The sequence below is a fragment of the Homo sapiens genome, chromosome 7 (assembly GCF_000001405.40).
Source record: "Homo sapiens chromosome 7, GRCh38.p14 Primary Assembly".
Classification (NCBI taxonomy): domain Eukaryota; kingdom Metazoa; phylum Chordata; class Mammalia; order Primates; family Hominidae; genus Homo; species Homo sapiens.
In genome coordinates this window covers 134,072,386-134,098,470 of record NC_000007.14, presented here as the reverse complement: position 1 = coordinate 134,098,470, position 26,085 = coordinate 134,072,386, and the positions used below count along the sequence as shown (strand labels likewise).

The following is a 26,085-nucleotide window of genomic DNA, read 5'->3' as shown; positions in this document are numbered from 1 at the left end:
TTGCAGTTTTGATTAGGAAATAGCACTGTGTGTGCAAGAATTGGGTTGGGTTACACCATTTAATAAAGCTATCATGACTGATGTGAGCACTACTCACAAAAAGGAACAGGAGAAACACAGCTGTACTCTCTGTGGCATGATATCACGCAGCTTGCACTTGGGTAAGGACCTTTCTGATGTCACCGGGTGAGGGATTAAGTCATAATTATGTAGATCTAAATTACCTTCCAGCAAACCCACTGGCGGTTCTTCATTAACATCACAGCAGGCTTTAATTCCAGCAGAAGACTGATCACCCTTCAGCTGCCCGACATCCAGCCTGAAGAATATGTTTGGAATTAAGCAGGGATCTTGGTTGAAAAGAACATCAGGTGCTATTTCTTTGCTTTGGTCTCAGACTTTATGTTGATATGTGTGAATCCTCCTTTCGTGACAGTGCTTGGGATGTGTGTGTGCCAGGTCCTACCCATTTGCCTTCATTGTCTCATGCTCACACACTGGAATCTGAGAATCCAGTAGTTATTAGGGACCTTGGATATCACTGATCATCTAAGTTTTGATCAGAAGGCAGTACTGATCCAAGTCGGATTTCCAGGACCATTTATGACTGAGGTGGTCAGTTGATGCCACCATGAACATCTTCCAGGCCCTGGATAACTCTTCATGCAATGGACCAGAGCTGTAACACCTTAGTGTCTATCCCTAGGGAGGCTGAAATAATGAGGAGAAGGGTCTTATGGATAAATGGGATTTTCTGGGAACTTGGGTGTTTCCCTCCCACATCAAGTTGTGGGGGTAGATTTCCAGTCAATGTGTAGGAAGCCTTGGGATTGATTAGTTGATTTTTGTTTTGGGTCACCCAGACGGTTGTCTCAGCAAGAATAGTCTATAAACCATTTTCTCCTCCATTTTCCATTAGCGTGAACCAAGGAGAATGCTTCCCAAGTTGGGCAGGGTAAAACAGCCTTGCTTCAGGGAACTACAAAAAGTCTCTGTGAATAATGGATGGTGAGATTTGCTTTTCTCCATTAGGGAGAGAGCTAGGCTTTTCATACCCACCTTCTGGGAACTGCTACCCATGAACTTTTTTTTTTTTCTATCTGTAACAGGAATACTCTTTAGCTTACCTTAAATTGGGTAATGTTTAGCCCCTGACAAAATCATGGAGGAGATGACCAAGAGCTGGGAGAGACAGTCTGAGACAGTTGATCTCTAACCAGAATTAGATAAGAGGCTTAAAAAAAGAATATATTACCCGGTTCCACTCCAGATGTACTAAATCAACATCTCCAATCATTGGGAGTTGGATTTTCTTCTTTGAACTTCCATGAGCTCAAATTTTTAATTTTAATTGTTGCTACTCTCCTAAGTCTTCCATGTGGTTTCTGATCTCTATTTTTTAAAATTTGTATCTTTTTAATGTGTATATATCATAATTCCATACTACTTCATATTTTTTTCTGTAAAAAAATGGTGGTGGTGGCAGATGTCAAGTTATAAGTCAACTTGAAAACAGAGTTGTGATGGTTAATATTGAGTGTCAACTTGATTGAAGAATGCAAAGTATTGTTCCTGGTTGTGTCTGTGAGGGTGTTACAAAAGGAGATTAACATTTGAGTCAGTGAATGGGAGAGGCAGACCCACCCTCAATCTGGGTGGGCACCATCTGATCAGCTGCCAGCGAGGCTAGAATAAAGCAGGCAGAAGAACGTGGGAGCACTTGATTTGCTGAGTCTTCCAGCCTACATCTTTCTCCCCTGCTGAATGCTTCCTGCCCTTGAACATCAGACTCTAAATTCTTCAGCTTTTGGACTCTTGGACTTAACCAGTGGTTTGTCAGGGGCTCTTGGGCCTTTGGCCACAGACTGAAGGCTGCACTGTCAGCTTCCTGACTTCTGAGGTTTTGGAATGGACTGGCTTCCCTGCTCCTCAGCTTGCAGATGGCCTATTGTGGGACTTACACCTTGTGATCATATGAGTCAATACTCCTTAATAAACTCCCCTTCATATATACACCTATATCCCATTAGTTCTGTCCCTTTAAAGAACGCTGACTAATACAAAAGGTCTTCTAAAAAATCCTCTACCCAGTAGAGAAGAAAATCACATTCAACATTGTGATAAATGGCCCTCTATCTTTGACTGAAGTCTTTAAGTGAAAAGCAGCACACCACTTTAAAATGTGACTTATTCCATTGTGGGCTACTCTTCCTATGTAAAGTTCTTCCTTTTATTAAAACTCATTGTGCTTTTGATTTGCACCTCTCTGATGATTAGTGATGTTGAACATTTTTTCATATATTTGTTGTATGCCTCCTTTTGGGAAGTGTCTGTTCTTTTGCCCACTTTCTAATGTGTTTTGTTTGTTCAATTAAGTTCCTTATAGATTCTGAAAATTAGACCTTTGTTGGATGCATAGTTTGCAAATATTTTCTCCCATTCTGTGGGTTGTCTGTTCACTCTGTTGATAGTTTCTTTTGCTATGAAGAAACTCTTTAATTAGGTCACACTTGTCACTTTTTTTATTGGAATTGCTTTTGAAGACTTAGTCATAAATTATTTCCCAGAGCCCATGTCCAAAATGGTGTTTCCTAGGTTTTCTTCTAGGATTCTTAAAGTTTGGGGTCTTACATTTACTTTAATGCATCTTGAGTTAATTTTTTATAAGGTGAAATGTAGGGGTCCAATTTCATTTTTCTACGTATGGCTATCCAGTTATCCCAGCAAGATTTATTGAATAGGAAGTCTTTTCCCCATTGCTTATTTTTGTCAACTTTGTAGAAGATTAGACGGCCATAGGTGTGCAGCTTTATTTTTGGGTTCTCTATTCTGTTTCATTGGTGTATGTGTTTGTTTTTGAGCCAGTATTATGTAGTTTTTGTGACCGCAGCCTTATAGTATAATTTGAAGTTGGGTAATGTAATGTTTCTGGCTTTGTTCTTTTTGCTTAGGATTGTTTTGGCTACTTGGGCTCTTTTATGGTTCCATATGAATTTTAGAATAGTTTTTTCTAATTCTGTGAAAAATGAAGTTGGCAGTTCGATAGGAATAACATTGAATCTGTAGATTGCTCTGGAAAGTATGGCCATTTTAATAACATTGATTCTTCTAATCCATGAGCATGGAATATTTTCCCATTTGTTTGTGCCATCTATGATTTCTTTTTTGCAGTGTTTTGTAGTTCTCCTTGTAGAGATCTTTCATCTTCTTGGTTATACGTATTCCTAGGATTTTTTATGTTGGTGTTTTGTTTTTGGTGTGGCTATTATAAATGGGATTGTGTTCTGATTTGGCTCTCAGCTTGAATATTGTTGGTGTGTAGAAATTATGTAATTGATTTTTGTACATTGATTTTGTAGCCTGAAACTTTGCTGAAGTCATGTATTAGTTCCAGGAGCCTTTCGGTGGAGTTTTTAGGGTTTTCAAGGTATAGAATCCTATCATCCACAAAGAGAGATAGTTTGACTTTTCCTATTGGGATGCCTTTTATTTCTTTCTTTTGCTTGATTGCTGTGGCTTGGACTTCTAGTACTATGTTGAATAGGAGTAGTGAGAGTAGGCATCCTTGTTCCACTTCTCAAGAGAAATGGTTTTAGCTTTTGCCCATTCAGTATGATGTTTGCTGCGAGTTTGTCATAGATATGTTCCTTTGATGCCTAGTTTGTTGGGGTTTTTATTATGAATCGATGTTGGATTTTATTGAAATATTTTTCTGTATTTATTGAGATGATCATATGGTTTTTGTTTTCAATTCTGCTTATGTGGTGAATCACATTTGTTGATTTGCATTTAATGATTGGCGTTTGAGGATTTTTGCATCTATATTCATCAAGGATCTTGGCCTGTAGTTTTCCTTTTTTCGTTGTGTCTTTGCCAGGTTTTGTTATCAATACTGATGCTGGATTCACAGAATGAGTTAGGGAGGAGTCTCTCCTCTTCGATTTTTTAAAATAGTGTCAGCAGAATTGGTACCAGCTCTTGTTTGTATGTCTGGTAGAATTCACCTATGAATCCACCCGGTCTGGGATATTTTTTGGTTTGTAGGTTTTTAAATTACTGATTCAATTTCAGAACTCGATATTGGTCTGTTCAGTGTTTCAATTTCTTCCTGATTCAGTTTTAGGAGATTGTGTGTTTCCAGGAATTTATGCATTTCCTTCAGATTTTCTAGTCTGTGTATGTAGAGGTGTTCATAATAGTCTCTTAGGATCTTTTGTATTTCTGGGGGATCAGTTATAATGTCATCTTTGTCATTTCTGATTGTGCTTATTTGGATCTTTTCTTCGTTAACCTAGCTAGCAGATTATTAATCTTGTTCATCCTTTCACATAACCAACTTTTGGTTTTGTTGATTCTTTGTATGGATTTTTGGGACTCAATATTTTTCAGTTATGCTCTGATTTTAGTTATTTATTTTCTTCTGCTAGCTCTGGGGTTCATTTGCTCTTGTTTTTCTAGTTCCTCTGGGTGTGATGTTAGATTGCTAATTTGAGATCTTTATAACTTTTTGAGGTAGACATTTAGTGTTATAAACTTTCCTCTTAACACTGCTTTTGCTGCATGCCAGAGATTTTGATATGTCACATCTCTGTTTTCAGTTATTTCAAATAATTTTATTTCTGTCTTGATTTTGTTGTTTACCCAAAAGTCATTCAGGAGCAAGTTGTTTAATTTCCATGTAATTATGTGGTTTTGAAGAATCTTCTTGGTATTGATTTCTATTTTTATTCCACTGTAGTCTGAGAGTATGGTTGGTATAATTTCGAGTTTTAAAAATTTATTGATACTTGGTTTATGAATGAGCATGTGATCAATCTTGGAGGATGTTCCATATACAGATGAGAAAAATGTATATTCTGTGGTTAATGAGTGGAGTATTCTGCATATATCTAATAGGTCCAATTGGTGAAGTGTTGAGTTTAAGTCCAGGATTTCTTTGTTAGTTTTCTTCCTCGATGACCTGTGTAATGCTGTTAGTGGGTTGTTGAAGCCCCGCTCTGTTATTGTGTGGCAGTCTAAAATCTTTTTGTAGATCTATAAGTACTTGTTTTAATAATCTGGGTGCTTCAATGTTGGGTGCATATATATTTAGAATAATTAAGTCTTCTTGTTGAATTGGATTATTTATCATTATGTAATGCCCTTCTTTGTCCTTTATTCCTGTTGTTGGTTTTAACTCTGTTTTATCTGATATAAGAAGAGTGACCCCTGCTTTTTGTTTTGTTTTGTTTTGCATGGCAGATCTTTCCCCAACCCTTTACTTTGAGCCTTTGGGCACCATTATGTGTGAGATGGGTCTCTTAAACACAGCACATGGAAGGAAGGGTCTTGTTTTTTTAATCCAATGTAAATGGCATTTAGACCATTTACATTCAAGGTTAATATTTACGTGCGAGGTTTTGATTCAATGGTGAAGTTGTTAGCTTTTTGCTTTGTAATTTCTATTGTGTTTTTGCTCCATACAGTCATAGGGTCTGTAGGCTATGTACTTAAGTATGTATTTCTGGCAGTAGGTATCATTCTTTGGTTTCCTTTTTTTTTTTTTTTTGAGATGGAGTCTCACTCTGTCGCCCAGGCTGGAGTAAAATGGCGTGATCTTGGCTCACTGCAATGTCTGCCTCCTGGGTTCGAGCAATTCTCCTGCCTCAGCCTCTCAAGTAGCTGGGATTACAGGCTTGTACCACCACACCTGGCTAATTTTTGTATTTTTAGTAGAGATGGGGTTTCACCATGTTGGCCAGGTGGTTTCAACGTATATAACTCCCTTCACGATCTCTTGTAAGGCTAGTATAGTGGTAACGAATTCCCTTAGCACTTTCTTGTCTGGAAAAGATTTTATTTCTCCTTTGCTCATGAAGCTTACTTTGGTGGGATATGAAATTCTTGGTTGGAATTTCTTTTCTTTGAGAATGCTGAAAATAGGCCCCAAGTCTCCTCTGGCTTATAAGGTTTCTGCTGAGTAGATATTATTCTTATGCTGTCCTTTAACTCTTTAGACATGAGTTCCTTTCTTTGAAAATATTCATATTGGCTGATTAAAACTATCTGTATAATAAGTCCAGTATCTGGACTTCCTCAATTTCTATTGACTTGTCTTTTCCTGTGGATGGCCCATACTTTCTGGTTTCTGTGTGCATCTCATAAGTTTTTTTGTTAAAAATTGGACTTTTTTTCTTTAAATTTTTTTAATTGAAATATGTCTCATACATAATATTTACCCTTTTAAAGTGTACATATAATTCAATGGATTTTAGTATATTCAGAAGGTTCTGGAGGCATCACCACTAATTCCAGAACACTTTCATCAACCCAAAAAGAAACCCCACACCTAGTAATTCAAAACTGGACATTTAAAATAATGTAATGTAGTTAACTCTGGAAATCAGACAAAGTCACATATCCCTTATCCAAAATGCTTAAGAACAAAGGTGTTTCAGATTTTGGATTTGTTTTGGATTTTGGAATATTTGCATATATATAAAGAGATATATTGGGGATGGGACCCAAGTCTAAATATGAAATTCATTTATGTTTCATATACAGCTGAAGGAAACAAAAATATTCCTCTATAAAGTACTGGGGATTTTAGTTAAAGTCTTTTAAAAGGTTTAAACACAGGGGTACACTCTGCCCCTGCTCTCTGCCTTTCCCACCTAAAGATAGGCCCCTGTATAATGCTTGCTTATCAACTGAGAAACAGAGCTCAGAAACAGTGCTACTAGAAGATCTGGAGCAGACTTTACTCTGCTTATAAATTTACTTTCCACATTTTCCTGCCTTTTGGAAGCCTTCTTTGTCTTGTCAGTATATAAGATTTATGGGTCTTTGTGAAAATACTGCCAGAGGCATTGAACCAGAGCAACTCCATCTTGAATAAGGGCTGCGTAAAATGAGGCTGAGACCTACTGGGCTGCATTCCCAGACGATTAAGGCATTCTAAATCACAAGATGAAATATGAGATCTGCACAAGATACAGGTCATAAAGACCTTGTTGATAAAACAGGTTGCAGTAAAGAAGCCGACTAAAACCTACCAAAACCAAGATGGCCATGAAGAGTGACCTTTGGTCATTCTCACTGCTACACTCTCACCAGTGCCAAGACAGTTTACAAATGCCATGGCAATGACAGGAAGTTCCCCTATATGGTCTAAAAAGGGGAGGCATGAATAATCCACTCCTTGTTTAGCATATCATCAAGAAATAACCATAAAAATGGGTAACCAGCAGCCCTTGTGGCTGCTCTGTCTATGGAGTAGCCATTCTTTTATTCCTCTACTTTCTTAACAAACTTGCTTTTGCTTTGCACTGTGGACTCTCCCTGAATTTTTTCTTGCCCAAGATCCAAGAACCTTCTCTTGGGGTCTGGATCAGGACCGCTTTCCTGTAACATCTTTCTGGCAACCACAAAGGGATGATACTGAAGAGACCCCCTAATCTCAACTGAAAATCATCTGCTTGCACCAATTTTGGCTGACTTTGGGTAAGTGGGGTGCATATACCTGGGTAAAGAATGGGATTGGGTTAGAGGCTCAACTTACAGGAGTTAGAGTCTCTCCTAAGACAGAGTGGGTTAGAGGCCCCTCTCGGTAAAGTCCCTTCTGGCTAAGGATGGGTTTGGCACTATGGGATGCTAACTGCTATTCTCTTTGGATTAATCTGTCTTGTACTCTTTGCTGACGGCTGTGGGTGACAGGATCAGGCATGTACGGGATCATGGGACATGGGGAGTGTCTTCTTCCCTAAAAGGGAAAACCTAAGAGCTGATGAAACTGCTGGAAAAGATCCCTTCATGACCAACAAGTGGCTGCCTGAATGTTAGAGCAACAGGGGGATCTTTCTCTGGTCTCGCTGAGCTCTTCGCCTTCCCCACCCTGCCTCAGGAAATGCTTTCTCTCTGTCTCTCTCTATGCTAACCAGTTGAATTAATGGTAAAAATAACTTTTTATCTCCTCTGTAAAGTTCTGATTAATGGAAAAAGGATTTGAGAGGCTAGTGTTAAGCTGTAGCAAATCTGGTGTGCTTTGTGCATTTTTCTGTATTGTTCTGTCATAAAGAGGGGTACCTTAGGATACAGCATGGGCTTTTCAAGATGGCCCAACAAACTGGTCAGTTACAAACTTTGCTGCAGGTCCCTGAAAAAAACTGGATGAGGTTTCCAAGTATGTCCTTGGGAGCTTGACCTTGTAACTATGTGGCTGTGCTTTCTCTTTTCACAATGGTGGCCTGGGTTCAGGGTCCAATTCCTGGCTTAGAGAATGAGTCCTTTATCTTCTGTCTGTCAGTGTATTTATGTGTGTTGTGTGTGTGGTTATATATGAAAGAGCTTTGATTAATTGGCTTAAAAATAAGTGCTTAAATCAAATACGTTGTCAGAAAAGTAGAAAGTGTAATGCCTTTTACATTATGTGACTTTAGTAATCTTTGGGAAATAGAGACAGTTTTTAAAATTATCGGTAAAATCAAAATATCTTCCAAAATGTAAACATTTCTTCTAAATTATGCAGGTCAGATATTAAGTTTACTAAATGCTTTAAGGTCATAAACTGCTTCTTTGACTTTTAAAAATTGTTCAGTTTACCTACTTTGAAGCATTAGATTCTAGATAAGGCCTGGGGACATGTGGAATTAGCCATACCCCATAGCTATGCAAAGAAGTTTATAAAGAAAAGAGACTTTATGTAAGAAAGGATCTTATATGGTAAATTCTTGTCCTAAAGTAAAATAATTGGTTGTTTAAAAAAAGGGATGTTTAGGACTAGTCACAAAGTCAAAGTATGTCGTAGATAGTCTGTGTAGGTCACGCAATTCCCATAGCAGGGAATTTATGCAAGAAATGTATAATTTAAAGGTGATTAGGCCTCCTAAATGCTTCATAGAATACCACTATGATGCTTAACCGTACAACTTGCCTGCTTTACAGCTAGGTAAGGCTTGGGACACGTGAAGTTAGATGTTGGAAAGAGTCAGGACTTATCTGCACTTCTGTGGGTCCTAGGCTCCACACTAGTACATAATTAAAATGGCTTACTAACAAGGCTTTTCACCAGAAGTAAGAGTTGCTAAGAGTTAATAGTGTAACATGTATTTGAGACTATTAAAAAACAGTTTTACATGCAAGGTGTGTAAAGAAAGTGAAATGTGTTTTTGGTAAAAGATTATAAGAAGTCATAGGAATGTGGATTTTTTTATGCCTAAAGTGTTAAAGGATTGTTTTAAGTTAGATAAGGTAAAGCTGAAGATTTCAGCAAGTTGTGGAAGGTTTGTGAAAAATTAATTGTGAAAGAGATTCTGTGTGTGAACATATTGGCTGAAGTTAAAGGGGTATTACTCAGTTTTTCTGTAAATTGAACATTGGAATAAAAGGACAACAGGTTTTTCTTAAAGCAAAAACCTGCTTATAATCTGCTCTTTAATAAAAAATTGTAAAGGGTTATACAAGATTTATGAAAATCTTATCTTATGGTCAAATGGTTTAAGATTGGATAGATTTATTTATAAGGTTTTATTAAGAATTGGGTTTAATGGTAATAGTACACTAACACAAAGGTAAAATTTGCCTTATTTGGTATAGTAAAGTCATACAAGAAGCACTGACAAATATAATAAAACTTATTGTAGGTTATTAATAATTATAATTGTTACATAAAATCACTGTATGCCACAGAGGTAACCAAATTTGTCAATCATGTTTTTGGCTGTGGCTGTCCTAAAACCTTTTGTCATGCAAAAACAATTGTTTTCTTGTTTCAATCCTCTTCAAAAGGTGGTTTATAGTCAGCTGTAGAACTCCAACAGGTGTTCTTAAATGCAGTTTTCTGATAACTTTGGAAATTGTGACATTAGAATAGACGAAACAACTTTCAGAACTCTCATGGAGAACTGAAATGTTCATGAATATCAAACAGGAGAGAAGTTAACTGCATGGAGTAAACTAGTAGAAGTCTAAAGTGATCTTTTTAACTTTTAGGTTAAAATGTTGCTGATTCTTTGTTTTGTTTTTCAAAGACAAGAAAACAATTCTTTTAAGCTATTTACAGCTTTTAACAATTAGGTAAAGTATACTCCTATGAACACAATTTGGAGCATATTTGTTTACCTAGTTTCTCCAGAATTTGGAAACTACTTGTGAGTATTCTTAATTTATGGCAATATAGTTATTTGCATAAGTGCAATAAGAATCTGTTTTCTTTTGTAACAGGACATAATTGGAAAAACTGGTTATTTTACCAAGGCTTTGAGTGGAATGGTGTGTTTTCCTTTAAGGAATTAAACTTGACTTATAGAGCCAATAAAAGCCCCTTGGGAAAACTGGCCTTGTACCTTGTCTACACAGTCCCTGCAAAGGGTTCCTGACATGTCATAAGTAAAGAATGTCACTTTCTATCAGGCCTAGGAGAGCTAAGTTATCTTGGAACCTCAAGAGGAGAGGAATTTATTCAACTTATAGGTATTTGAGGGTACAAACCCATGGCAGGGCTCAGCTCTAAAAAAGTCTTGTCTAAGATTCCTTCTATGGAACAGAGTTACATCAATGCCAATTTAAAGAGAGCTTATGTGAAAAATAATTATTCTTGCTGCACTTTATACAAATAATCAGGCCAAGTAAAATGAAACAAATCAGTCTTACCATGATTTGTCTTAATAAAAATGGGAAACTGGAGAGAGAAAAATTATGTTTCAAGAACTATGGTACACTTGTTATTAAATTCTAGTCTCATCAGTTGTTTATGAGTTTATTTCCTGTAATTAAGACTAATCCTGCTTATCCCTGTGAACCAACTAGTGATCTCTGACTGCTGCTCAGAAGAAACAAGAGGCATGGGTAATGTAAAAATCTGGATCAATATTCTGGGCACATATTGAAATCATCTAGCAACCCCATATCAGCTTGTTTCCAACAGCTGCCCAGTTCATGGAAAGCCTTCTAATTTAGCTTACTTGGGATAATTTTACGTATTTTGCCTTACTATTGTGTAATATATTGCTGTTGTACTCTTTGTGTAGGAAAGAGGATGAGGTTACTCAATGTTTTCTTAAATTGAACACTTATTAATCTTCCAGATACCATCTTTTGTTGGAACTCAAAAGTTATGAATGTCCCTCACCGTACCAATGCTTTCTGACTGAGCTGTTTTATACCCCAAATACAAGAGACTCTAATAGTTAGGCAGGAACATCATCACCCCTATTCTGCCTGAAGTAGTTACAGAAGATAGATCTTCATCCCTCTGCAAACCTTGAAGTTAGGGTTGTCTTTTAAAAGGGAGGGGGGAAATGTCAGAGGCATTTGAACCAGAGCAAATCCATCTTGAATAAGGGTGGAGTAAAATGAGGCTGAGACCTACTGGGCTGCATTTCCAGATGGTTAAGGCATTCTAAGTCACAGGATGAAACAGGAGGTCAGCACAAGATACAGGTCATAAAGTCCTTGCTGATAAAACAGTTTGCAGTAAAGAAGCTGGCTAAAATCCACCAAAACCAAGATGGCCATGAAGAGTGACTTCTGGTCGTCCTCACTGCTACACTCCCACCAGTACCATGACAGTTTACAAATGCCATGGCAATGACAGGAAGTTCCCCTATATGGTCTAAAAAGGCGAGGCATGAATAATCTACTCCTTGTTTAGCATATCATCAAGAAATAACCATAAAAATGGGTAACCAGCAGCCCCTGTGGCTGCTCTGTCTATGGAGTAGCCATTCTTTTATTCCTCTACTTTCTTAATAAACTTGCTTTTGCTTTGTACTGTGGACTCACCCTGAATTTTTTCTTGCCCAAGACCCAAGAACCCTCTCTTGGGGTCTGGATCAGGACCCTTCTCCTGTAACAATACTATTTAAGCAAGGCCCCAGAACCACTGCCTTGAGAGGGAAATATTTTTGAACTGAGGCCTTTCCCTGTGATGGGTACAGCATGCATTACTAAACTTCTACTTGTTTTTCTTCTGTTAATCTTACTTTTGTTTTCAGGAGGGTGTCTCAATTAAGAACTTAAAAAAGAAAGGAAAAGAAATTATGTTTGCTCCCCTACATACTTTATGCACAGAGCCTGAAAGGAATTGTTTACAATACTTCGAATAATTTTGTGCATGAAACAAAGTTCTGATTGAGACCTGTCACATGAGGTCAACTGTGGAATTTTCCACTCATGGCATCATGTCAGTGCTCAACTTTCAAATTTTGGAACATTTCAAGTTTAGATTTTTATATTATGGATGCTCAACCTGTTCCCTGTGTATCCAGGGTTTGTTATTGCTGTTTTGTTGTTTTTACTGTTTGTTTAGTAACTTTCCTCGACAAATTCTGTAAATAAGTATTTCCTTTTATGACTGAAGTCCTACTCAGTTAACTTAGTGGTCAGCTAATGACTGAACAGAGATTTTCTTAAGTTCTTGGAACTAATAAGTCTCTAGCCTTAGCCAAGGGGTACTGTTAGCTGTGTGTTGGGGCACACTTTCAATGCTCCAGTACGACTTCCTGGTTGCAAGGTCAGCCAGAGGTGAGAAGTTAGGTTCCACTTAGGTCTTTCCTGAGCACACACAGCTCTGCCATGTGTATGGCCTTCCAGATCCCTTGTGATATGTTGGAGCTTTTTCAAAGCCCCCTGTGAATAACCCATTCCCAAGATCTTCCTTTTAAATATTTTGCCAGGCTCCCATTTGCCCCAACTGGTATTGCAGCCTCAGGCAGCCACATGTTAAATCATTGCTATTGGTTGTTTTTGACAAACACCCTAGGGATAAGTTTTACACCCCAGATCCCAAGCAATGAGCTGTGAATCAGATCAAATAATGACAACAACATCCTGTGAATGGAGCTTTCCCAGGGAGCTGAAAGACAGGTAAAATGTGACAATTCTAAGGAGATGTGCTTTTGGGGGAGCTCTAAATCCAGGTTATACCTCCAGTGGCTGTAAGGCTGCTCATTTGCACAGCTTCCATAATTGCAGAGCTGCTGTTTTCAAGATTTCTGCAGAGTGGGAGTGAGGAGTACAGGAATAGTGCAAGTTAAAATGTTACAACATTTTGCTATTCTTACCAAGATTCAGCAGTTTTTCTTGCATAAATCCTCCTTGGATTTTTTGCAAGCCTTTGGTTAATTTCCAGAGTTTAAAAAAAGTTGGTTTTTTTTTTTTTGTTGTTTTTGTTTTTTTGGCCACGTATTCTTAAGAGTGGATTTTTGGAAGGTTATTACTTCACCATTCTGGAAGTCTCCAACCTCTCAACCTGACCTAGAGCTGCAATTACCAGTTATGATGTATTAAAGTGAACTAAACATGGCCTGAGAAGGAGTCTGTACTTCAATATTTGAGTCCTTGTGGATGAACTGCAACCTAACTTGATAGGTGGACAAGATTAAAAACCTAATTTAGGAGTATGCACCTGTAACAATAGCTGAGTCTTGGCCAATCCCAGCAGTCATACTTCAACCACTCATATACAGCTGAGTGTTCAAACTGTGTTCAAAAAAGGCAAACGCCCAGCTGTAACCAACCCAGCTGTTTTTATGCCTTACTTCCGATTTCTGTATGTCACTTCCCTTTTTTGTCTATAAATTTGTTCTGACCACTAGGCATCACTGTAGTCTCTCTGAATCTGCTGTGATTCTGAAGGCTGCCCAGCTTGTGAATCATTCATTGCTCAATTAAACCCTTTAAATTTAATTTGGCTGAAGTTTTTCTTTTAACAGAGGCTTAGCAATGGAATTAAGGGGGTGGGGAGGCTGTCCTTTTGGTGAATTTTTTTTTTTTTTTTTTTTTACGGCTGCACCAAATGCTTTTCCAGAAGTTTTTGTCCTCTCTTTGAGCACTTGGAAAGCCTGTGCCCTTTGTAACCACCTGCCAGGCCTTGCAAGGTAGAAAGGCATCTACATTCAGAGAAACCTTCTGAGGCCCTCCTGATACAAAGATAATCCAAGGGGAGTCCCAATGTCAGCCTGAGATGAGAGGATCTTCCAGCCTCTTGGGACCTTCTCTCTGATCAGCTTTCTCAGCGAGGTTTCTCAGTGCCACTAGTCACTCTTCTCCTTGCCTTGATGGTGCCCCACCAATTGGTAGCTATCTTCTCACTTTTGGCCACTCCTCAGGCACTTTTTGTGTAGTTCATGATGCCCTAAGAGATTTTAAACTGTCTGTAACACTGGCAAGAGCTATATCTCTTCACTATTGAAAAATAAGGAAGTCTCAATGACTTTCACGAGAATATTCAGGAATTATAACTAAGGTCTGCAAGTCTGGCTTAGAAGCAACTGCCTTCAGAATGGCCAGTTATTGCTGGTGACCAGTGTGATAACTGATCAGTAGAAACTCCACACCCTTGGATGAGTCATGTTTCCAGGCTGATTACATCTCTTTCACAGCAAACGGCCTTCTCAGGAGAGCCAGCTTAGCATCTCACTGGAGCCAGACAGCCTTGGTATTAGAGTGATAGCATAAGGGATCCTTTCTGTTTGCTATAATAAGCCTCACTTCCTATAAAGAAAGAAGTGGAGAGATTTTGACTTTGCAAGACACTTCTAGAGAAAAATTGGCCCACACAGTAGAGGAGCAGAAGGAGAACAACTTGGATGTATGCATCAGACCTTGCCCCCTTGAAAATCCTGAACCAGAGAGTGTGGCAGATTACAGATGACTGCAAATTCATTGATATTCCTCCTGTTGAGAGGTAGGATCTATGACTGGCCTATTACATTTTGACCTTTAGAGCATGGTCAAAGTGATGCTATGCTAGTTTTAGGACTACAATTTAAAAGGACTGGTCACATCTGCTTTGGTTTTTTTTAGAGCCCTGAGTCACCATTTAAGAAGTCCGACTACCCTGCTGAAGAGATCACATGGAGGGGCTCTGAGACTACAGCCTGAGAGCTGTTCCCACCAAGGTGTCAGGCTTGTGACTGAAGCCATCTTGGATGTTCCAGACTGGCCCAGGTAGCAGCTTAGTACCATCAGGTGACTCTAGTTGGTGCCATATGGAACAGAAGAATCACCCAGCTGATCGCCCCTCAAATTCCTGACCCATGGTATCATGAGATAGAATAACTGTTTTAAGCTACTAAGTCTTGGATTAGTTTGTTATGCAGAGACAAATAACCAGAACAGGGAGCCAGTTGCCCTTCTGTGAGAGTCTGCCTTAGACATGAGCAAGGGACTAGAGGTAGACCCTGACTTTTCTGCAGCTGCATCTAGATGGGGCCCATATAACCCCTCTTAGGGTGTCCTGCTGGTGCATCACTTGATGGGGCTCCTAGGTGCCTGCTTAGTACACAAGCTGATCATACCCAGGTAGGAACCTCCCTTGTCCTCTTGGTGAATAGCAAATCTTGTGCTTATGACCAGCAAATATGTATCTAGAAGGGAAATTACTGAGTCACGGATATGTAAATTTCTAAACTTTTTGATACATACTGTCAAATTGTATTCCAGAAAGATTCCACCCTTTTCCAGTTCCTTCCAAAGTCTATGAGAGTGCTTACTCCCTGTCCCCTCAGTAACACTGGCTGTTATCAACTGTGTGGCAACTGTGATTTTATATGTAATGTCATCCATTTGCATGACCTTGTCAGAGGCCTTTACCAGAGCAACTCCATCTTGAATAGGAGCTGGATAAAATGAGGCTGAGACCTACTGGGCTGCATTCCCAGATGGTTAAGGCATTCTAAGTCACAGGATGAGACAGGAGGTCAGCACAAGATACAAGTCATAAAGAGCTTGCTGATAAAACAGGTTGTAGTAGGCCGGGTACGGTGGGTCATGCCTGTAATCCCAGCATTTTGGGAGGCCAAGGCAGGTGGATCATGAGGTCAGAATATTGAGACCATCCTGGCCAACATGGTGAAACCCCGTCTCTACTAAAAATACAAAAATTAGGTGGGTGTGGTGGCATGTGCCTGTAGTCCCAGCTACTCTGGAGGCTGAGGCAGGAGAATTGCTTGAACCTGGGAGGTGGAGGTTGCAGTGAGCAGAGATCATGCCACTGCACTCCAGCCTGGCGACAGAGCAAGACTCAGTATCCAACAACAACAACAACTATAAAAACTAGGTTGCAGTAAAGAAGCTGGCTAAAACCAACGAAAACCAAGATGGCCATGTGAGTGACCTCAGGTCATCCTCACTGCTACACTCCTATCAGTGCCATGACAGTTTACAAATGCCATGCCAACACCAGGAAGTTACCCTATATAAAAAGGGGAGTAACCCTCAGTTCTCAGAATTGCCCATCCTTTCCAAGAAAACTCATGAATAATCTACCCGTTGTTTAGCATATAATCAAGAAATAACCAAAAAAAAAATGGGCAACCAGCAGCCCTCAGGGCTGCTCTGCCTATGGAGTAGCCATTATTTTATTCCTTTACTTTCCTAATAAACTTGCTTTCACTTTACTTTATGGACTCCCCTGAATTCTTTCTTGTGTGAGATCCAAGAACCCTCTCTTGGGGTCTGGATCAGGACCACTTTCTGGTAACAACCTCAGTTTACTCATCTGTGTATTGAACATGCTTGGTGTAGGGTCTGGAACAAAGAGGGTTCACAACAAATATTTTTTGAATGTATAAGGACTCTAAAGGTTGCACAATCTATTCTTTCAGCTCAAAGTCCTGTCGCCTCTACATTTTTCTGTACACAGCCCACAAGTGCCTCAAGTTTATCATCACCTCCTTCACCTCCAACCCTTCACCTCCAAACCTGCTTCTCCCCATCCTGCCTTGTGTTCCTTATCTCACTGAATAGCAGGTCATCCCCTCAGTTAACCTAGCTAGAAACCTGGGAACCTACCTTTGCTGCTTTACCACTTCCTCTTACGCCCTCCCATTCAACCAATGATCACGTCCTGTCAATTCTGTCATCTTTCACCTATTCATTCATTCTAAAAATATTTATTGACCATCTATTATGTGCCAGGGATTGTTCTAAGTATCGGGGCTACAGAGAACAAAAGATATAAAAACCTCTGCCCTCAAAGAGTGTATACTTTAGTTGGGGAAGACAAACAATAATCAAATTAATGATTGAGTTATACAGAATGTCAAATGGCAATAAAAACTATGGAGAAAAATTAAGCAGAGAAAGTATAGGCTGTGGGGAAGGGGCTGCTGTTTTATTTATTTATTTATTTAATTTTTTGAGGCGGAGTCTTGCTCTGTCACCTGTCACCCAGGCTGGAGTGCAGTGGCGCAATCTCAGCTCACGGCAACTTCCACCCCCTGGGCTCAAGTGATTCTCCCGCCTCAGCCTCCTGAGTAGCTGGGATTACAGGCATGTGCCAATAAACCCAGCTAATTTTTGTATTTTTAGTAGAGATGGGGTTGTGCCACGTTGGCCAGGCTGCTCTCAAACCCCTGAGCTCAGGTGATTCACCTGCCTCAGCCTCCCAAAGTGCTAGGATTACAGGCATGAGCCACCATGCCTGGCCAGGGTTGCTGTTTTAAATAGGTGGTCAAGAAAGGAATCATTTAGAAGGAAAAATTAAAGCAGAGACCTAAAGGAGGTGAGGGAGCAATCATGCTTTTATTTATGTGTTTACAATTTTTTTAGAGACAGGGTCTCATTTCTGTTGCCCTCTGCAGTAGCACGATCATAGCTCAATTCAACCCCGAACTTCTGGGCTCAAGCAGTCCTTCTGCCTCAGCTTCCCAAGTAGCTGAGACTACAGGTGGGTACTACCATGCCTGGCTAATTTTTATATATATATATATTTTTAAGATAGGGTCTTGCTATGTTGCCTGGGCTGGTCTTGAACTCCTGGGCTCAAGCAACCCTGTCTCGGCCTCCCAAAAGAATGGGATTATGGGCATGAGACACTGCACCTGGCCATTGTTCTTTTAAGTATTTCCTGAATCTGTCCACCTCCCTCCATCCGTATTACTACCACCCTAGTTGAAGCCACTACCGTCATTCTCCTTGATCACTGACTAGTCTTCCTGCCATCTGCCTTCCAATCCATTATCCATCTTCCAGGGTGATATTTGTAAAGTCAAAACCCAATACTACTTACTTGCTTAAAACTCCTTAGTGGTTACACCAGATCCCTCAAGGTAAAAACAACAACAACAACAACAACAAACTTATTAATATCTCCTACTCGCCACTGAATTATTCTCCAACCTTATCTCCCCAAGTCCCCAGTTGTACTCACAACTACTTTTAGTCCCTTCAGTAAGCATGGAGCTGAACTTTTAAAAACCTTCTTAAGCTCCTTTTTTTCTCATTCCATCAAGAAAATAGTAGAATTTTGTTTTTGTTGTAGACTATTTTTTATTTGGGTTTGAGATACATTTTAGAGAACTTGGCTGCCTTTAAAAGAGCCATTCATTCAGAAAGGGTAGGTTTTGTGGCAGGATGAAACTTTCTAATCAGTAAGTTAAGAGCTAATCATGCAGATGAGGAATGTTTATAGCTGAACTAAGTCAGGGGCTGCAGCTATACATTATTAATAAGCTATGGGCTGGTAGCATGGCCCCAGCTATTAATAGCATAAGCTGGATGGACTCTAGATCTTGGCGTGATCAGAGTCCAAGGCTCTGTATCCTTGGAGAGGGAGCCTGTTTGGACTAGCATCCGGGGTTAGGTTTTGCGGGCAAGAGGGTGTTTCTGGTGAATGTGCTTAGCATCCTTGTGCTCTGAGGCAGGCTGGGACTGCACCTGGGTCCTGCCTTGCAAATTTGCATTGAAGTTTCCAAGTACATGTGGATGGCTCAGTGCAAACTCATGCCCACAACTAGGAAAGTGATGGTTAGTAGATGTCCTATTGTGGAGGACCAGAGGAACTGACACTGCATCTGAAGGGCAGGGCATTTATTAATGAGGGACAGGATAGCCCAACCGGGCAGCTCCCTGAGAAATGACATCCTTAAAGACCAGACTCAGGCACCTCCTTCCAGAACACACTCTCCAGAGGTGGCTGTGGCAAACCTTTCAAGGGCTGCCATCTAAACAGGAATAGTACTGGAGGGATGGTTAATCAGCATAAAAGGGGTAAGAAATGAATGCTGAAATTGTTCAAGACATGTGGTGGGCTGGTAAGACTTTATGGGCTTTAGCAACTTTTTGCAAATGACTTAAAAAAAAATAAGTAAACCTAGTATTTGACAGCTATGAAACAGCACTCTGGGTCCTCAAGCACCCAGAATGCATGCAGAACTCTGTCTCTAGATCAAACTAGAAGGTGGGTCTGATCCTGCTGACAGAACATAGTTGTGCTTGCCTCAGAGGAAACTTTCCAATAAGGTGCTGGACAGAGAAAAGGGACAGAGAGTGCTTCCTGAGCAGGTTGGAAGAGGATGTTTACGTTCTCTTGCTAATGAATGTTGTCTGTGGACTGCTTACTTTGTAGCACACTTCCTGCTAGCAAAGTTGAGGGGAGGAGTCACATTGCTTCCATCTCTGCTTATGGCAGAAGGCTACTGATGTTTACTAAAGGAATTTGGACAGCAGGAATGTCAAATTGCCCTAGATCAGTCCTCGATGGAGGGTGGGATGTGGGGCGAATGATGTAGCTACTCTTACTTCCCTTCTGAACTCTGTAGGTCTGGAACAGTGTGTAAGCATCTCAGGGGCATCCAGAAAACATGGAAATGAAAATCTAAGAAAATGATGACAGTTAATACAACTGCAAGATGCAAGAAGTTCTATATCCCCTATGAAAATAATTTAATGTTTGCTGTTATCATAGATGAGTGAATTGCTCTTTAACTGCCAAGAGGCCTAGTACCTTGTGCTTTATTAGTCTCTTAAAGCTAGCTGAATTAACAGCATTTAAGTGTTATGTTTCCTCATTTTAAGATTGCAACTTCAAATCTCATTCAAAACCATTAACATTTACATCCACTGGGACATCAGAGAAATACAAGGAACTCTAAGCTGTTGGGGAGGAGGGTAGAAAAATATATTCTTTTCCCCAATCTTTTTCATGTTTTGGTGATTGGGCCTACGTTGTTAGAGGGTAAACACTTACTGCTGAGGATGGGTAATAAATGGTACTGAAATAGAAAGTTCCTAAGGAAAAAGGGGCTGGTCCAGTGAGATAATTAGACATCAGGATTTTGGAGCAGGGATGTGTGGCAACTTGTAGGGGGTTTTAAGCTTTAATAACAGTTAATTATTATAGACAGCAGATTTATAATCTCTATAATATTATAGATATAATATTATATATAGTTAACTATTATAGTTTTTTTTCTGTTTATGTGTTGGATTTACATAGAAGCTTTCCTGTGAGTACTCAGAGACACTGAATTAAGACCTATGTATCTGAGCTCACTAATACTACAGGAGTTCAAATAAATGAAAAAGGGGGGTAAAGCAAAAGACATAAATAAACTGGGGGGATCCAGGATTGCTCACTGTGATGGTTGATGCAGGAAATTAAAGAAAAATCAAATTAAAAAGAAAGCAAAATAAGTTTTCCTGTATTAGGCTGACTTGTCCCAGAGGCAGCAACAGGCACAGCCAGATCCAGGAAAAGTCTTGATAATATTATCTAATGTGCTCTGGAGACTCTCCCAGCACTCCCTCAACATAAGGAGAAGAAAAACAAATTTTCCTTTGTTTTATGGAATGAGTTTATAGATTCCTATTCTCTGTAACTAGTGACTTCAAGTATTCTGTTTTATCTAAGAAGTACAATGAAGGTCATGAGGAGCCTGAGTAGGCCTGAACTACAGCTGCCTGGGCACCATAGTGAAGGTTACAGGATAAGCCTGTGCTCAGACAAACCTAGATAACAGACATCTGGGTTGCTTGGCAACAGTCATGTGCAATCCTGTCTTTGTCCTCCCTCTGTATCCCTGCTTTCATGCCCCTGTAAGCTTGCTTTAAGCTAGCCCACCCCCTTTTGTGAAGTGTGTATAAAATTCAGGTGCGGTCTTTGTTCTGGGCCCAATTTTTTGGAGGTGAGTCAGCTGGGCCTGAGCGCACTCAATAAAGATTCTCCTGTTTCAACCTGAGGTCTCTCTCGTCCTCCTGAATCCCGCAACAGTGGTTAGTTTTATATGTCAACTTGACTGAGCTAAGGGATGCCCAGATAGCTGGTAAGACATTATTTCTGGGTTTGTCTGTGAGGGTGTTTCTGGAAGGGCTTAGCATTTGAAGCAGTAGGCTGTGTAAAGATCTGTCCTCACCAATGTGGGTAAGCATCATCCAATTTGTTGAAGGCCCTGATAGAATAAAAAGGTGGAGGAAGGACAAGTCTTTCCTTCTTTCTTTGAGTTGGGACATCCATATTGTTCTGTCTGTAAACATTGGAGCTCTTGGTTCTTGAGCCTTTGTACTCTGAGACTTAGACCAGTCCCCCACCTTCAACTCCCCCACTGAAAGTTACACCACTGGCTCTACTCGTTTTCAGGCCTCCAGACCTGGGCTGAATTACATCACCAGCTTTCCTGATTCTTCAGCTTGCAGATGGCAGATTAGGGAACTTCTCAGTCTCCATAATCATGTGAGCCAACTCCCATAATTCTGTCTCCTCATCTCTCTCTCTCTTGCTCTGTTCTCTCTATTATACACACACACACACATATGCAGATCCTCAACTTATGATGGGTTTATCAGGATGTAAGTTATGGAGTGTTACTGAATGAATATTGCTTTTGAACCATTGTAAAGCCAAAAAATTTTACGTCCAACCATTGTAAGTCATTGATCATCTGTATATGTAATTCTAGGGGTGCAAAGATTCCATGTATCTGCTGAGTTCTAACAAGGTTAGCACAAAAAAGTGAAGAATATTTGTTGTTCATTTATTGAGATATACATATATATATATATATACAATTATAGATGATAGTTTTTTCTATGTTAGATATATATTTATATATTTTTTGTTTATATGTTGGATATGTACATATATGTTAAAGAGAGATATATATATATGCTATTGGTTCTATTTCTCTGGAAAACCCTGGCTAATACACTCCTTGAGTGAACAACACATACTTGTTGCTTCTGTCTTTTTTTTTGAGACAGAGTCTCGCTCTGTTCCCCAGGCTGGAGTGAAGTGGCGTGATCTCGGCTCACTGCAAGCTCCGCCTCCTAGGTTCACACCATTCTCCTGCCTCAGCGTCCCGAGTAGCTGGGACTACAGGTGCCTGCCACCACGCCCAGCTAATTTTTCTGTATTTTTAGTAGAGACGGGGTTTCACCGTGTTAGCCAGGATGGTCTTGATCTCCTGACCTCGTCATCCACCTGCCTCGGCCTCCCAAAGTGCTGGGATTACAGGTGTGAGCCACTGCGCCCAGCCTTGTTGCTTCTGTCTTTAGGACAGACATGTACTGACTGAGGACTTGTTGGGAAATCACTATCTTTTCTCATCCTTCAGCCTCTAAATTTGGCTCTTATTCTCAATCCTCCACTCAACTAGTTCTCTTTAAAGTCAAAATTTCATCCCTCATTGAAATTCCCTTGCTCTTTCTGCTCTCCTCACTGTGATCAGCCTCTTCGTTGTGTGTATCAGTCAGGATAGGGAGGGTTAGGCTGCAGTAACAAACAATCTCAAAATGTCAATGGCTTTAAACAACAAAGATGTATTTCTTACTTACCTCATATGTCCACTGCAGGTCAGCTGGGGCTCTGCTCTGCATCTTCCTCCCTCTGGAACCCTAGCTGAGTGAGTGGTCACTATCTGGAACATTGCTGGCCATTGTGACAGAGGGGGCACTGAGCTCTGGAGGGTTTCACACAGGTAATTAAATGGCTTTGGTTGGGAAGTGACACCCTTCTACTCATAACTTATTGGCCACCTAATCCCATGGTACCACCCAAACACAGAAGAGCCCTGATATGGTTTGGCTGTGTCCCCACCCAAATCTCATCTTGAGTTGTAGCCCCCATAATCCCCACGTGTGGTGGGAGGGACCCAGTAGGAGATGACTGAATCATGGGGGCAGTTTCCCCCACAATGTTCTGCGGTAGTGAATAAGTCTCATGAGATCTGATGGTTTTATAAGGGGTTTCCCCTTTCACTTGGCTCTCATTCTGTCTTACCTGCTGCCATCTAAGACAAGCCTTTTGCCTTCCACCATGATTGTGAGGTCTCCCAAGCCATGCGGAACTGTGAGTCCATTAAACCCCTTTTTCCTTATAAACTACTCAGTCTTGGGTATGTCTTTATCAGCTGTGTAAAAACGGACTAATACAGGCTCAGAAATGCAATCCTACTATATTCCTGGAAGAGGGAGAGCAAGATATATTGAGAACCTAATGAAAACCTCAGACCTGATTTCATATAATGCACTTATACACCATCACCCCAAATCACCCATGCTGTATGCATGTAATTCTAGAGGGTTCAAAGATCCCATGTATCTGCTGACTGCCAGCAAGGTAAGAAAAAAGAAGTCAAGAACATCCAAAATGTGCCAGGCCTCCTGCTAGGCAGGTTTGCCTTGGCTAGTTTTCATGACTGCACTGTGCTGATCCTCCTCATACTCCTGAGTTTTCTTTTGCTTCACTTTCTTTGCTTACTTTTTTTTTATACTGTGGAGGTTGACAAACTGCATACCTTCATCTCAGCCCTCACATTGATTCTCTAGCTCCACTTGTTTTTCAAGACCATGGTCCAGTTCCATTTTCCCAGTTAAGTTGTATTTGACTAACGATAGTCTACAATCATTATTCGTTTTACTGAGTTCCTCAGAAATGCTCCGTGAGCCTTCAGTGGTACACTGGCTTACGATACTCCATAGTGGATTCGTGTGTGTTGCCCTGTTCTTTCCATGCGACATTCATGTCTTTGAAGGCAGGACCTTGCCTCTATCCCTCCACTTGGCAGTCTAACAGCATGATTCACCTGGGGGCTCCCAAATGCAGGATCCTGGGAGTGGCAGTCGAGACCTGGATGCTGGTCCTGGCTCAGACATGAACTAGGCATCCCCACTCTCCTCTTGGGCCTCCTCCCTTTGCTCCTCTGGCTCCTTTGAAAAATGAGATGGTTGGGACGGAAGCTCTCTCAGGTTCTATCCATTTCTATGAATCCACAACAGGTGTTATTGAGAAAGTAATTGATGCCAACCCCCCACCCAAAATTAGGATAAAAGATTCCCACTGCCACCCTATAGGGTTACCTGGGGATTGCTCTTGAGTCCAGGCTCTCTTTATCCTCAGAAGTCTGGTTAACAAGCTTCTTGTTTCAGGGCAAAAGAAAAGAAAGGGGAGAAGAAGGGAGGGGAGGAGAGAGAGAAAACTTATCTTCACTCAGATAATCCCTCCAGCAGCCTATTGTTTTGAAAGGTCTAGGCCCAGGGAAGGAGGGTTTGCTCTCCCAGTGGCAGAAAGGAAAGAGACTCTGGGGTCAGGAGGAAAGAGGAGAGAACTGCCCAACCTGGAGTGTTGGGTCCCCCAAAGCTGAGAAGAGACAAGGGCTGTAGCATGCACGGTAGCTCCACGACATCCAGCTCACAGTGCCCACAGAGGGCAGGACCTCGTGTCAGGCAACTGTGAGGGATGCCTGTGGTGGATGGACACTGAGGCCTGGAGGTCCCCGGAACAAAGCCTGGGCACACTAGAAAAGACTCTGCCTGTGGAGGGCAGGGCCTGACGACAGCACCAGACAGTGTTTAGAGTCTTCACTGTGTCGCAGAAGGAGCCCGGGGAAAGAGTGATCAGGATGCCCTGATGACGTAGTGCTCACCCCGCTCTCCTGACCTGCTTCAGCAGCAGGGTGTTGGTGCAACCTGAAGGAGGGGAAGCCTCTCACCAAAACCCCCATCCCCTGCCTGTGAGTAAATCACAATGACTGGAGTCGGACTTCTGCTGAGAATGGTTAAGTGGGGGCTCCAAGCCAGATTTGATTTTTAAAAATTAAAAAAAAAAAGAATGTGACATTTTTCTCACCTCAATTTCATAGAGCAATTTGTGAACTTATTAGAAATCCATGGGCTGACATTCCTCAGCCAAGGTAGAAAGAGTAACAGCAAACTCAAACCTCAGGCAGAAGGCCATTACGTCTGTGAAGGTCTGGTCCCTAAAGGGTAGTGGAGCCTTCAGAGTTAATGAGATGCACATAATATGCTGGCAGGCAACGAGATGCAAAACCCTCGCTAATAGCTAAAATGGAAGCAGGCTTAAGGAAGCAGACACTGAGGGCAGTCGGCATGTGTGGGGAGGGGGCTGAAACAATCGTGTAAGATCAGAACGTCCAGTTTCTATGATGAGGATGGATGGTTCTGGGGGCCTTTAGGTGTCCACATACAGCAAGTAACAGTCTTGGGTCCACCCTGCCATAGCCTGGGGCCTTTCTTTGTTGTTTTTTTTTTTTTTTTTTTTTTTTTTTGAGAGGAAGTCTCTCTCTGTTGCCCAGGCTGGAGTGCAATGGCATGGTCTTGGCTCACTGCAACCTCCATCTCCCAGGTTCAAGCGATTCTCCTGTCTCAGCCTCCTGAGTAGCTGGGATTATAAGCACCCGCCACTATGCCCGGCTAACTTTTTGTATTTTTAGTAGACATGGGGTTTCACCATGTTGGCCAGGCTGGTCTCAAACTCCTGACCTCAAGTGATCCACCTGCCTCGGCCTCCCAAAGTGCCAGGATTACAGGCATGAGCTACCATGCCCAGCCTAGCCTGGGCCTTTCTAACCAAGAAGCGCTGTAAGCGGGGCTGCACTCTTACACTTCAACACAGCAGGCTTTCTTGATAGTGTGTCTGAAACTCCTCAAAGAAACAGACAGGATATTATTTGTTATGTATATATAATACTAATGACATGCCAGGCACTGAATGCCTCTGTTGGACAGGAGCTATTAGTATCACTGTTATCCCATTTCAAAGATGAGGCAACAGAGGGCATTTTTAAGCACTTGTAACCACATCAAACCACCTGCAAAGTTGATGGTCTTCAGGACACGCTACTCCCAAATCTGGCACCTTAGCATAGCGAACAGTTTAAGCAGAAGGAATTTGAGAAACAGCATGTTCAGGAAGGTTTCTCTGACCTCCCCTGGCCATTCCTCTTCTTTCCCCTCTGCAGCAGGTCCTAAAACCTAGGAAGACTTTTCTGACCTTCCCCTGAAGCAGGCCTAAGACCCTCCTGTGAGAGACCAGGCTGGGCGATACAGCGAGACCCTGCCTCGAAAACACCATCACCACCACCACCA

At 41.0% G+C, this 26,085-nt stretch overlaps 1 protein-coding gene and 1 long non-coding RNA gene across 8 annotated transcripts in view; one reads left to right on the top strand and one right to left on the bottom strand.

The window, feature by feature from the left end:
- LOC105375514 (uncharacterized) lies at positions 1-26,044 on the top strand. Of its 3 annotated transcripts, none has more exons than XR_001744986.2 (5): positions 282-371; positions 14,785-14,928; positions 21,341-21,433; positions 22,552-22,676; positions 25,959-26,044. It is a non-coding gene; the product is annotated as an uncharacterized LOC105375514 (long non-coding RNA). The 3 variants fall into 3 exon arrangements; XR_007060532.1 differs by lacking the exon at positions 282-371 and adding an exon at positions 14,595-14,665; XR_007060531.1 differs by having other exon boundaries at positions 1-21,433.
- The window catches only part of EXOC4 (exocyst complex component 4), an 847,874-nt gene that overhangs the window by 2,481 nt on the left and 819,308 nt on the right, over positions 1-26,085 (bottom strand). Inside the window, exons 23-27 of one of the 5 annotated variants that reach the window (XR_007060126.1) lie at positions 24,058-24,113; positions 23,784-23,959; positions 22,979-23,159; positions 22,534-22,658; positions 225-319 (exon numbers count right to left, since the gene is read on the bottom strand). The gene's annotated coding sequence lies outside the window, so the exon portion shown is untranslated. Of the gene's footprint in view, positions 1-224; positions 320-22,277; positions 22,659-22,978; positions 23,160-23,783; positions 23,960-24,057; positions 24,117-26,085 lie in introns of those variants that run through there. The other 4 variants (XR_007060125.1, XR_007060123.1, XR_007060128.1 and 1 more) reach the window with 4 other exon arrangements.